Below are 12135 nucleotides of genomic sequence, written 5' to 3' on the forward strand. Positions count from 1 at the left end.
TAAAGAGTTTTTGAATGCTGAATACGAAACAATATAGAATAATTATACTTTTCTATATGGCAGCACGAACATTTATAAACTGACACTTTAAGAGAATGCAATATTTACAGTGGCATTAAAAAGAACAGATACCTTGGAATAAATCAATTAATACATGTATAAGAGCACCATAGAAATACATATGTATTACCAACATTAACCTTAAATGTAAATGGGCTAAATGCTCCAATTAAAACATAGACTGGCAAATTGGATAAAGAGTCAAGACCCATCAGTGTGCTGTATTCAGGAGACCCATCTCATGTGAAAAGATGCACATAGGCTCAAAATAAAGGGATGGAGGAAGATCTACCAAGCAAATGGAAAGCAAAAAAAAGCAGGGGTTGCAATCCTAGTCTCTGATAAAACACACTTTAAACCAACAAAGATCAAAAGAGACAAAGAAGGCCACTACATAATGGTAAAGGGATCAATTCAACAAGAAGAGCTAACTATCCTAAATATATATGCACCCAATGCAGGAGCACCCAGACTCATAAAGCAAGTCCTTAGAGACCTACAAAGAGACTTAGACTCCCACACCATAATAATGGGAGACTTTAACACCCCACTGTCAGTATTAGATCAATGGAGAGAAGATTAACAAGGATATCCAGGACTTGAACTCAGCTCTGCACCAAGCGGACCTAATAGACATCTACAGAAATCTACACTCCAAATCAACAGAATATACATTCTTCTCAGCACCACATCGCACTTATTCTAAAATTGACCACATAATTGGAAGCAAAACACTCCTCAGCAAAGGTAAAAGAACAGAAATCACAACAAACTGTCTCTCAGACCAAAGTGCAATCAAATTAGAACTCAGGATTAAGAAACTCACTCAAAACTGCACAAATACATGGAAACTGAACAACCTGCTACTGAATGACTACTGGGTAAATAACAAAATTAAGGCAAAAATAAAGATCTTCTTTGAAACCAATGAGAACAAAGAGACAACATACCAGAATCTCTGGGACACATTTAAAGCAGTGTGTAGAGGGAAATTTATAGCACTAAATGCCCACAAGAGAAAGGAGGAGAGATCTAAAATCGACACCCTAACATCACAATTAAAAGAACGAGAGATTCAAGAGCAAACAAATTCAAAGACTAGCAGAATGCAAGAAATAACTAAGATCAGAGCAGAACTGAAGGAGATAGAGATACAAAAAAACCCTTCAAAAAAAATCAATGAATCCAGGAGCTGGTTTTTTGACAAGATCAACAAAATAGATAGACTGCTAGCAAGACTAATAAACAAGAAAAGAGAGAAGAATCAAATAGATGCAATAAAAAAATGATAAAGGGGATATCACCACTGATCCCACAGAAATATAAACTACCATCAGAGAACACTATAAACACCTCTACACAAATAAACTAGTAAATCTAGAAGAAATGGATAAATTCCTGGACACATACGCTCTCCCAAGACTAAACCAGGAAGAAGTTGAATCTCTGAATAGACCAATAACAGGTTCTGAAATTGAGGCAATAATTAATAGTCTGCCAACCAAAAAAAGTCCAGGATCAGATGGATTCACAGCCGAATTCTACCAGAGGTACAAAGAGGAGCTGGTACCATTCCTTCTGAAACTATTCCAATCAACAGAAAAAGAGGGAATCCTCCCTAACTCAGTTTATGAGGCCAGCATCATCCTGATACCAAAGCCTGGCAGAGACACAACAACAACAACAACAACAACAAAAAAAAAAAAAAAAAAAAAAGAGAGAGAATTTTAGGCCAATATCCCTGATGAACATCCATGCGAAAATCCTCAATAAAATACTGGCAAACCGAATCCAGCAGCACATCAAAAAAGCTTATCCACCATGATCAAGTTGGCTTCATCCCTGGGATGCAAGGCTGGTTCAACATACACAAATCAATAAACGTAATCCATCACATAAACAGAACCAATGACAAAAACCACATGATTATCTCAATGGATGCAGAAAAGGCCTTCGATGAAATTCATCAGCCTTTCATCCTAAAAACTCTCAATAAACTAGGTATTGATGGGACGTATCTCAAAATGATAAGAGCTACTTATGATAAACCCACAGCCAGTATCATACTGAATGGGCAAAAACTGGAAGCATTCCCTTTGAAAACCAGCACAAGAGAAGGATGCCCTCTCTCACCACTCCTATTCAACACAGTGTTGGAAGTTCTGGCCAGGGCAATAAGGCAAGAGAAAGAAAGAAAGGGTATTCAATTAGGAAAAGAGGAGTCAAATTGTCCCTGTTTGCAGATGACATGATTTTATATTTAGAAAACCTCATCGTTTCAGCCAAAATCTCCTTAAGCTGATAAGCAACTTCAGCAAAGTCTCAGGATACAAAATCAGTGTGCAAAAATCACAAGCATTCCTATACACCAATAATAGACAAACGGAGAGCCAAATCATGAGTGAGCTCCCATTCACAATTACTACAAAGAGAATAAAATACCTAGGAATCCAACTTACAAGGGATGTGAAGGATGTCTTCAAGGAGAACTACAAAGCACTGCTCAGTGAAATAAAAGAGGACACAAACAAATGGAAGAACATTCCATGCTCATGGGTAGGAAGAATCAATATCGTGAAAATGGCCATACTGCCCAAGGTAATTTATAGATTCAATGCTATCCCCATCAAACTACCAATGACTTTCTTCACAGAATTGGAAAAAACTACTTTAAAGTTCATATGGAACAAAAAAAGAGCCTGCATAGCCAGGAAAATCCTAAATAAAAAGAACAAAGATGGAGGCATCATGCTACCTGACTTTATACTACAATGCTACAGTAACCAAAATAGCATGGTACTGGTAGCAAAACAGATATATAGACCAATGGAACAGAACAGAGCCCTCAGAAATAACACCACATGTCTACAACCATCTGATCTTTGACAAACCTGACAAAAACAAGCAACAGGGAAAGGATTCCCTATTTAATAAATGGTGCTGGGAAAACTGGCTAGCCATATGTAGAAAGCTCAAACTGGATCCCTTCCTTACACCTTATACAAAAATTAACTCAAGATGGATTAAAGACTTAAATGTAAGACCTAACACCATAAAAACCCTAGAAGAAAACCTAGGCAATACCATTCAGGACCTAGGCATGGGCAAAGACTTTATGACTGAAACACCAAAAGCAATGGCAACAAAAGCCAAAATAGACAAATGGGATCTAATTGAACTAAAGAGCTTCTGCACAGCAAAAGAAACTATCATCAGAGTGAACAAGCAACCTACAGAATTGGAGAAAATTTTCGTAATCTACCCATCTGACAAAGGGCTAATATCCAGAATCTACAAAGAACTTAAACAAATTTACAAGAAAAAAGCAAACAACCCCATCAAAAAGTGGGCAAAGGATATGACCAGACACTTCTCAAAAGAAGACATTTATGCAGCCAACAGATATATGAAAAAATGCTCATCATCACTGGTCATCAGAGAAATGCAAATCAAAACCACAGTGAGATACCAGTTAGAATGGCGATCATTAAAAATCAGGAAACAACAGATGTTGGAGAGGATGTGGAGAAATAGGAATGCTTTTACATTGTTGGTTGAAGAGTAAATTAGTTCAACCATTGTGGAAGACAGTGTGGCGATTCCTCAAGGATCTAGAACTAGAAATACCATTTGACCCAGCGATCCCTTTACTGGGTATATACCCAAAGAATTATAAATCACTCTACTATAAAGACACATGTACACATATGTTTATTGCAGCACTATTCACAATAGCAAAGACTTGGAACCAACCCAAATGTCCATCAATGATAGAATGGATTAAGAAAATGTGGCACATATACACCATGGAATACTATGCAGCCATAAGAATGGATGAGTGCATGTCCTTTGCAGGGACATGGATGAAGCTGGAAACCATCATTCTCAGCAAATTATCACAAGGACAGAAAGCCAAACACCACATATTCTCACTCATAGGTGGGAGTTGAACAATGAGAACACATGGACACAGGGCAGGGAATATCACATGTCGGGGCCTGTCGGGGGTGGGGGGCTGGGGTAGGGATACCATTAGGAGAAATACTTAATGTAGGCGATGAGTTGATGGGTGCAGTAAACCAACATGGCACATGTATACCTATGTAACAAACCTGCATGTTATGCACATGTACCCTAGAACTCAAAGTATAATAAAAAAATAAATAAATAAACGTGCAATGACATTAAAAAAAAGAAATACATATGTAAAAAATTATTGTGATAAAATAAGGGAGACCAAAATAAATGGCAACATGTACCAGTGTTATGGAGAGGAATATTCAATATTATCAAAATTTCAGTTCTCTCCAAATTGAATTCAAAAAGCTGTTTCTAAACATCTGGCACTGTAGAGGGCCAAAACCAGCAAAGACATTCTAGGAACAAGGCCAAAGTAGAAGGACTCCCTCTGCCAGAGTCAAGAACTAAGTAAAGCTTTAGTGTGTACTCAACGCAGTGCCACACTGGCATAGAGACAGACAAAGAGACCAGCGACATGAAATAGGGAACCCAGAAGCAAACTATGTCCCTCTATGGGGCACTTGGTTGTTGACAAAAGGGACACTGAGAATAATGGAATAAGGGCCATCTTCTCTTAAACCAAGCTTGTCCAACCTGCGGCCTGCAGGCCCCATGCAGCCCAGGACAGCTTTGAATGTGGCCCAACACAAATTTGTAAACTTTTTAAAAACATTATGAGTTTTTCTGTGATTTTTTTTTTTAGCTCATTAGCTATTGTTAGTGTTAGTGTATTTTTTTTTAATTTAATTTAATTTTTTTGAGATGGAGTCTTGCTCTGTCACCAGGCTGGAGTGCAGTGGCCTGATCTCGGCTCATCGTAACCTCTGCCTCCCAGGTTCAAGCAATTCTCCTGCCTCAGCCTCCCAAGTAGCTAGGACTACATGTGTGTGCCACCACTCCAAGCTAATTTTTTTGTATTTTTAGTGGAGAGGAGCTTTCACCATGTTGGCCAGAATGGTCTTAATCTCTTGATCTCGTAATCCACCTGCCTTGGCCTCCCAAAGTGCTGGGATTACAGGTGTGAGCCACCGCGCCGGGCCATGTTAGTGTATTTTATGTGTGACCCAAAACAATTCTTCTTCTTTCAGTGTGGCCCGTGGAAGCCAAAAGATTACACAACCCTGTCCTAAACTGGGACAGCAGGGAATCTATATAATTAAAAAGAAAGGGAGTTCTTACCCACACTTCACGTAAAAGTCCATTCCATGTACTTTAGAGACCTCAATGGGCAATCCAAAACAATAAAGACTTTACAAATCTTTATGTAGAAGAATATCTTTATGACCATGACATGAGAATCTTTTTTCCAAAGGAATAAAACCATATTAAAAATAACAATAAAGAGATAAAAATGTTTTTTAAACAACACACACACACACACACACACACAACATGAAGCATAAAGTATAACATTGATAAATTTAATTATATTAAACTTTAAACTTCTGCTCATTAAAAACCATAAGGAAAATACAAAGCTGATCCACAGTGTTGGGGAACACATTTCCCACAAATAACCAAACAAGGGCTCTTATCAAGAAAATATAAAGAACTCCTTTAGCACATTGGGAGGCCAAGGCACAGGAGTTCAAGACCAGCCTGGGCAACATGGTGAAATCCGTCTCTACTGAAAATACAAAAATTAGCCAGGCACAGTGGTATGTGCCTGTAGTTCCAGCTACTCAGGAGGCTGAAACAGGAGGATCGCTTGAGCTCAGGAGGTTGAGGCTGCAGTGAACCGAGATCATGCCACTGTACTTTAGCCTGGGCGGCTGAGAGAGACCCTGTCTCCAAAAAAACAAACAAACAAACAAACAAACAAAAAAAAACAATAAAAGTGCGGAAAAAGCCTTCTACTCACATTTCACTAAATGACTGATAAACATATGAAGAGGCCTCAACCTCATTACACCACAAAATGCAAATGGAAACCCAATGAGATGCCGACGCCCCTGACACCTGCCTACCAGATGGTTCACACGACACTGACAATGCCACCTTGTGGCGATCTAGAGCAGTAGGAAATACTACAGTGTGGCTGGGGGTGTGCATTGTACAACTGCTTCAAAGGTTTCCTGTTTCCTAGAACAGTCAAGAATATGAATATCTTATCACCTAAAATTCCACACATGGGCACAAACCCTAACAAATGTGAATGTAAATGTGTGCCAGGACATCCACACATAAAAGCTCCCTATAGTGTTGTTCATGATAATAGAATCAGTACACAATGGCAGATTTTTTAAACCATAAAGACAGCAATGTGGATTGATAGCAACAGCAATGTTGAACAAAAAAGTAAGATACAGGAGAACACACACGATGACTACGGCCATAAAAATTATAAAAAGCCAAAATTAATGTTTACTGTATGTGCAGATGTTCAGGTAGCAAAACCATCCACTAAAATAACAGAAAACCACAAAGTCAGGACAGGGGTCAACTCTAGGCAGTGAGGCTGGTGCCGGGAGGAGCTCACCATGACCTTTCTTCAACTGCAGGGGTATTGTGAGGTTTGCATCACAGACATCACTTAAGATACAGTTTATATGGTGTGTCCTAGTCTGTATTTGTGTCATATGTCACAATAGAAAGATGAGAGGCCATGGGAGGAGGGAAAGGGAGAAAGGGAAAGTGAAGGGGAGGATAAATGAATAAAGAAAAAGAGACAAGAAGATGGAGATGCAGAGGGGAAAGAGAGAAAGAACAGGGCAGGGAGGAAGAGACAGGAGAGGACTGGGGGGAAGAGACAATGGGGAGAAGGAGGGAGTGTGAGCTGCACCCGTGTAACCTGCCTGCCCCAGCTCCTCCACAGCCGGGTTGTCCTCCCCGCCCACCCCACCCCTCCCCCATGGGACACCTCTGCTAAGGGACTACTCCCCACTCAGCACGCTGTTGACCTCCAGCCCCTATCCAGAAAGTCTCATCTCCCAAAACCCTGCCCACAACCCTAAGGTGAACCCACAGTTGAGGGAGCTCCTCCCCTAGTGTCAACCTGGCTCCCACCTCCCAGTGCGGGAGAAAAGCAAAGCAGTTGAGCTGGGAGGCTTTGGGGACAGGCCATTCTCCAGGAGCCAGCCTGGCCACAGGGCCAACGGTCCCTGGCAGAGAACGACAGGGCTCAATAAGCAGAGGCCATGCAGGCCCCAAGGCCAGACTACAGTGGGAGCCAGTGTGGCCAGGTGCCCAGAAATCCCAACAGCACCACTGGGTCCCTTAGAAGATGCTCAAGTTCCCAAAACTGGGGGTTAGAGGCAGGGGATTAGTCAGACCTCACCTTGGACAGCAGCCCCAGCCCTGCCCAGGGACACCAGGGCATGAGGGTGTCACAAGCAAGTAGGTGGCTCAAGGCCAGGTGCCTGTGCCTTGGCTGAGGGACGTGGCTCAGGTCAGTTTGCTCCATGACTCCCTGGGTCCCACAGACCCCACTCCACGCTCTACTGCAGCCCAGTGCACTGCATGGTGCTCTGCTGTGCCAGGTTGTGTTGTGTCCAGTTGTGCTGTGTTGTGTGCTGTGTCACTGTTCCAGCAAACTCCTTGTCCGGAAGCTCTAGGGCCCCGGCCACTGAGAAGCCCTAGCCCTGAGTCAGCCTCAGGCAAGGCCTGCATCCCTGCTGCCTCCCTTTCCCTGGCTCAGCCTTGCAGCTCCCGCTGACCCCTCTGCCACTCACCCACCCATCACCCCCACTTAGAGGCCAGGAAGCAGCGGGAGCTGTATCTCCCTCCCAACCACCCCCTCCCCTCTTTCTTCATCCTCCAGGACATGCATTTCTAACAGAAACCAGAAATCCTGCAAATGCCCTGACCCATCCACTGACCCCAGGGCACCTCCTGCCCAGGTGTTTGGCACAGGGGACGCCCCCACACCGGCCCCATCATGTACCTGGTGGCCCCAAGGCTGCAGCACGGGATGCCTTTCTGACCCTGGACCTGCCCTGGGCCCTGCTCTCTGCCACCGCTCACAGGACAAACCCAAACAATTGCTGTCCTCCCTCTGAAATGGTGGCCATGAGAGTGCAGGCCTTGCGTCCCTCCTGTGCCCAGGCCCCTCACCCACACACTCTGGCTGGCTGCATCTGTTGTCCAGAGCCCTTGGTCACAAGGCGTGCAGCCTGGACCACAGTGATGACAAGGGAGGCCCTTCCTAAGCCTAGAGATGGTCTAAACCTTCATGGAACTGCTGGTCCCAGTGCCAGCCAGAGTCCCAAGTGAGGCTGAGGTGGCTCAAAGTGGTGCACGGGAGATGTCTGATATCAACCCTCTCCTGGAGGTAGATGATGTCTCCAGCCTGGTGACTCCCTGGCCACCAGCCACCACCATCCCCCATGTCCCCAAGGCTGAAAGTGCAAGCTTGCCCTGGCCCTGGCACAGAAAGTGCACGATCTGGTCATGTCATGCAGGTGACCTCATGCGGGCATGGTGGCACTTGTGGGGCAGTCCTGTAACCTGCAGTGTGGTGGGTGGGATGGATGTGTGTGACACAGGCAGGAACTACCCCTCATGGCAGTTGAGGGCCCACGTGTGTATTGGGTGGGGCTGATGGGAGTGAGAGGTGAGTGGCTGGGCACAGGCAGGTGAGTGAGTGACAGCTACACAAACCCCACCACTGAGCATGTCCCTCCCAGGACAAAGCAGGTCAGAGCCACAGGCCCAGCCCTGGGAGGCCCAGAGGGGCCTCAGGTCCTCAGGGACCTGGCCCTCTTGGCCCTCAGAGGACCCCACTCCCTCTAGAAAGCCCCCCAGCTGGCTCCACCTGTAGCTGTGCAAGTGGGAAGGGGACACAGTGCTCTGGGGTCCAGAGAAGGAAGGAAGATGGAGGGAGGGCGGCCCTCTGCTCCCAGGTCCTCTGTTCCCTGACCCTGATGCTCAGCCCCCTGCGGCCCTCCTGGAGCCCACACCTTTCAGCTGCAGTCTCCCAGCCTCTCTCCCCAGGACGAAGCCCACTCAGCCAGTGCTTTTCCACTGTAGCTGGCTTTTCCCCTTGGGGAGGGTCCCCAGATTGTACAAAGTGCAGAGGGGTCCCCTGTCCCTGTCCCACAGGGTCCCCACACCAGGCTTTCTCAATGTCTCCCTGTCTCTCTCAGACAAGGAGGGCAGAGGCAGCCACAAGGCCGGTCCCAGCCACAATCACACCCGCATATTCAGATAATCACAGACGCTTGTCCCACACAGTCACACACCCCAACCTCAGGTACCAAACACCCCACACACTCCCGACAGCGCATTCTACTCACACACACACAATCCCATTCTCACACATGTGCACCCAAGCCTCTCGCCCCACATACAATGTGACAGGCCACTGGGCCACCTGCGGGTCCCAGTGCACATGGATGCCTGCAGTGCACAGCCACCTAGATCCTGCACCACCGGACAGGAAGGGGGCGGGTACCTGGCAGATGCCACCTGCTGCGCCCACTGGGCCACCAGAAACTCCACCTCTCCCCGACTCTCCAGGTCCCAGCCAAGCCACGCCCACCGGGCCTGCCCCCAGGACCCTGAGTTTAAAGACCCCATCTCCCCAAATGCCAGAGGGAGAGGATTCCGCACCACCCCAAGTGTAACCCACACCCTAGTCGGCCCTGACCCCGCACTGCATGGCGCCCACCTGAGCCCTGGCGTTGCTGGGCCTCCTGCTGCTGCTGTTGCTCGTGGGTAGGCCCTGCCAGGAGACCCTGGGCTGCGCTGCAGCCCTGGGGTACCCACCCCTCCCTGCTCACGTGCTCCTACTCTCCCTGCAGATCCCAAGAAACTATGCCCGCAGCTCGTGACCGTCATGAACCAGTTTCTGACCGAGGACAAGGACACCTACATGGATTCTGTCAACAGATATCATCCCACGGAGCTGGAAAGAAACACACCCTCCAAACTCAAGGACATGGTGACCAACACCACGACCCCCGAGGAGGGACAGGCCGTCATGCAGCAGGCCCGGCCACCAGCGCCTCCTCACAGCCCTTGACCTCCTTTGAGATCAGGGACTCTGTTCCCTGAGAGCCTCTCTCTCCACCCAAACACTTCCCCACCTCTCACCAAGCAATGTCCCTGCAGACGGGCAGCTGCCCAGGGAAAAGACCTCAGGGCGCTGGGTCTCCGCCCTCTGATACTCAACCTCTGCTGTCAACCCCATCCTATCCCTCCTTCCCAGAAGACCCCTCCCTTCAGCCTCCCACCCCTCCCCACAGGAAGAAATCAACAACCAGGGTGCCTACACGGTACTGAAGTGACACCATCCACAGGCACCTCGAATCTCTGCCCAGGCAGCCTGTCCGGCCCAGGAGAACCTGGGCCCGGGGCCCCACCCTCCCCAGCTCCTGCCCTGCTGCTGCCCCTCCTCCCACTCCTGCTGTGCTAATTGGGGCTGATTGCGGGCCACTACTTTATTTACATAGGGTGTACACCAAGTAACCAATGGGAAGCCTCTAGAGGGTATTTAGACCCCAGGAAATTCTAAATGGGCTCTTGAGCCCTTATGCTTGGGCCTGCTCCCGGTTTGGAGTGTACTTTCACTTTCAGTTAAGTCTCTGCTTTTGTTGCTTAATTCTTTCTTTGCTTTGTTTGTGCGTTTTCCCCAATTCTTTGTTCAAAACAGCAAGAACCTGGAGACCCTCCTCCTGTAACGGGAAGGTGGGATGGGGGGAGCCCACCCTGACACTGACCCGGGCCACCCACGTGCCCCTCCCCCCACACCCATACTCACTAGGGCCCTGGGTGGAGCTTCCCCTGCTGCTCACAGCTCGGTGAGTGGCCAGGCCAGCAAGCTCCCCCAGCTGCGCCCCTCTGCTGATTTTGCCCCTGGTCACCCTTACCAATCAGGGTCCAGTCAGGTGACAGAAGTCACAGGCAAGTGGCTTCAACACCCACATATGTAGTGAGAGGTGACAGCATGCTGGCGGCCCTCGCAGCCCTCGCTCTCTCTCGGCGCCTCCTCTGCCTGGGCTCCCACTTTGGCGGCACTTAAGGGGCCCTTCAGCCCAGCGCTGCACTGTGGGAGCCCCTTTCTGGGCTGGCCAAGGCGGGAGCCGGCTCCCTCAGCTTGCAGGGAGGTCTGGAGGGAGAGGCGCGAGCGGGAACCGGGGCTGAGCGTGGCGCTTGCGAGCCAGCTGGAGTTCCCGGTGGGCGTGGGCTTGGCGGGCCCCGCACTCCGAGCTGCCGGCCGGCCCTGCCTGCCCGGGCAGTGAGGGGCTTAGCACCTGGGCCAGCAACTGCTGTGCTCAATTTCTCGCCGGGCCTTAGCTGCCTTCCGGCGGGGCAGGGCTCGGTACCTGCAGCCTGCCAGGCCTGAGCCTCTCCCCCTCCTCTGTGGGCTCCTGTGCAGCCTCCGAGACGAGCGCCGCCCCCTGCTCCATAGCGCCCAGTCCCATCGACCACCCAAGGGCTGAGGAGTGCTGGTGCACGGCGCGGGACTGGCAGGCAGCTCCACCTGTGGCCCCGGTGCGGGATCCACTGGGTGAAGCCACCTGGGCTCCTGAGTCTGGTGGGGACTTGGAGAACCTTTATGTCTAGCTAACGGATTGTAAATACACCAGTCAGCACCCTGTGTCTAGCTCAGGGTTTGTGAATGCACCAATCGACACTCTGTATCTAGCTACTCTGGTGGGGACTTGGAGAACCTTTGTGTCCACACTCTGTATCTAGCTAATCTAGTGGGGACGTGGAGAACCTTTGTGTCTAGCTCAGGGATTGTAAACGCACCAATCAGCACCCTGTGGAAACAGACGGCTCGGCTCTCTGTAAAATGGACCAATCACCAGGATGTGGGTGGGGCCAGATAAGAGAGTAAAAGCAGGCTGCCCCAGCCAGCAGTGGCAACCAGCTGGGGTCCCCTTCCACACTGTGGAAGCTTTGTTCTTTTGCTCTTTACAATAAATCTTGCTACTGCTCACTCTTTGGGTCCACACTGCCTTTATGAGCTGTAACACTCACCATGAAAGTCTGCAGCTTCACTCCTGAAGCCAGCGAGACCACGAACCCACCAGGAGGAACTAACAACTCCAGACGCGCCGCCTTAAGAACTGTAACACTCACTGCGAGGGTCCGCGACTTCATTCTTGA

General features: G+C 48.4%; 1 protein-coding gene and 3 pseudogenes across 23 annotated transcripts in view, besides 1 other annotated feature; 1 reads left to right on the forward strand and 3 right to left on the reverse strand.

Moving 5' to 3' along the window:
• The window catches only part of ZNF807P (zinc finger protein 807, pseudogene), a 135468-nt pseudogene that overhangs the window by 115368 nt on the left and 7965 nt on the right, over positions 1 to 12135 (reverse strand). The gene's annotated exons all lie outside the window — the stretch shown is intronic.
• SCGB1B2P (secretoglobin family 1B member 2, pseudogene) overlaps positions 1 to 12135 on the reverse strand; it is a 100431-nt pseudogene that overhangs the window by 80331 nt on the left and 7965 nt on the right. The gene's annotated exons all lie outside the window — the stretch shown is intronic.
• SCGB2B2 (secretoglobin family 2B member 2) overlaps positions 1 to 12135 on the reverse strand; it is a 91631-nt gene that overhangs the window by 71531 nt on the left and 7965 nt on the right. For 2 of the 7 annotated variants that reach the window (NR_170950.1, NR_170951.1), the window contains exon 1: positions 10293 to 10366. The exons of 4 other annotated variants lie outside the window; for them this stretch is intronic. The gene's annotated coding sequence lies outside the window, so the exon portion shown is untranslated. Of the gene's footprint in view, positions 1 to 10292; positions 10367 to 10780; positions 10855 to 12135 lie in introns of those variants that run through there. One more of the 7 variants, NR_170949.1, reaches the window with a different exon arrangement.
• Positions 6810 to 7310: an enhancer, noted in NCBI's record as "H3K4me1 hESC enhancer chr19:35154774-35155274 (GRCh37/hg19 assembly coordinates)". NCBI's record gives its function as "activates a minimal SCP1, AML or CMV promoter by ChIP-STARR-seq in naive H9 embryonic stem cells {active_cell/tissue: H9 hESC(naive)}" and the evidence as "EXISTENCE:reporter gene assay evidence [ECO:0000049][PMID:30033119]".
• Positions 9820 to 10039, forward strand: SCGB1B3P (secretoglobin family 1B member 3, pseudogene; annotated as a pseudogene).

This window comes from Homo sapiens, chromosome 19, assembly GCF_000001405.40.
Source record: "Homo sapiens chromosome 19, GRCh38.p14 Primary Assembly".
NCBI classification, from domain to species: Eukaryota; Metazoa; Chordata; class Mammalia; order Primates; family Hominidae; genus Homo; species Homo sapiens.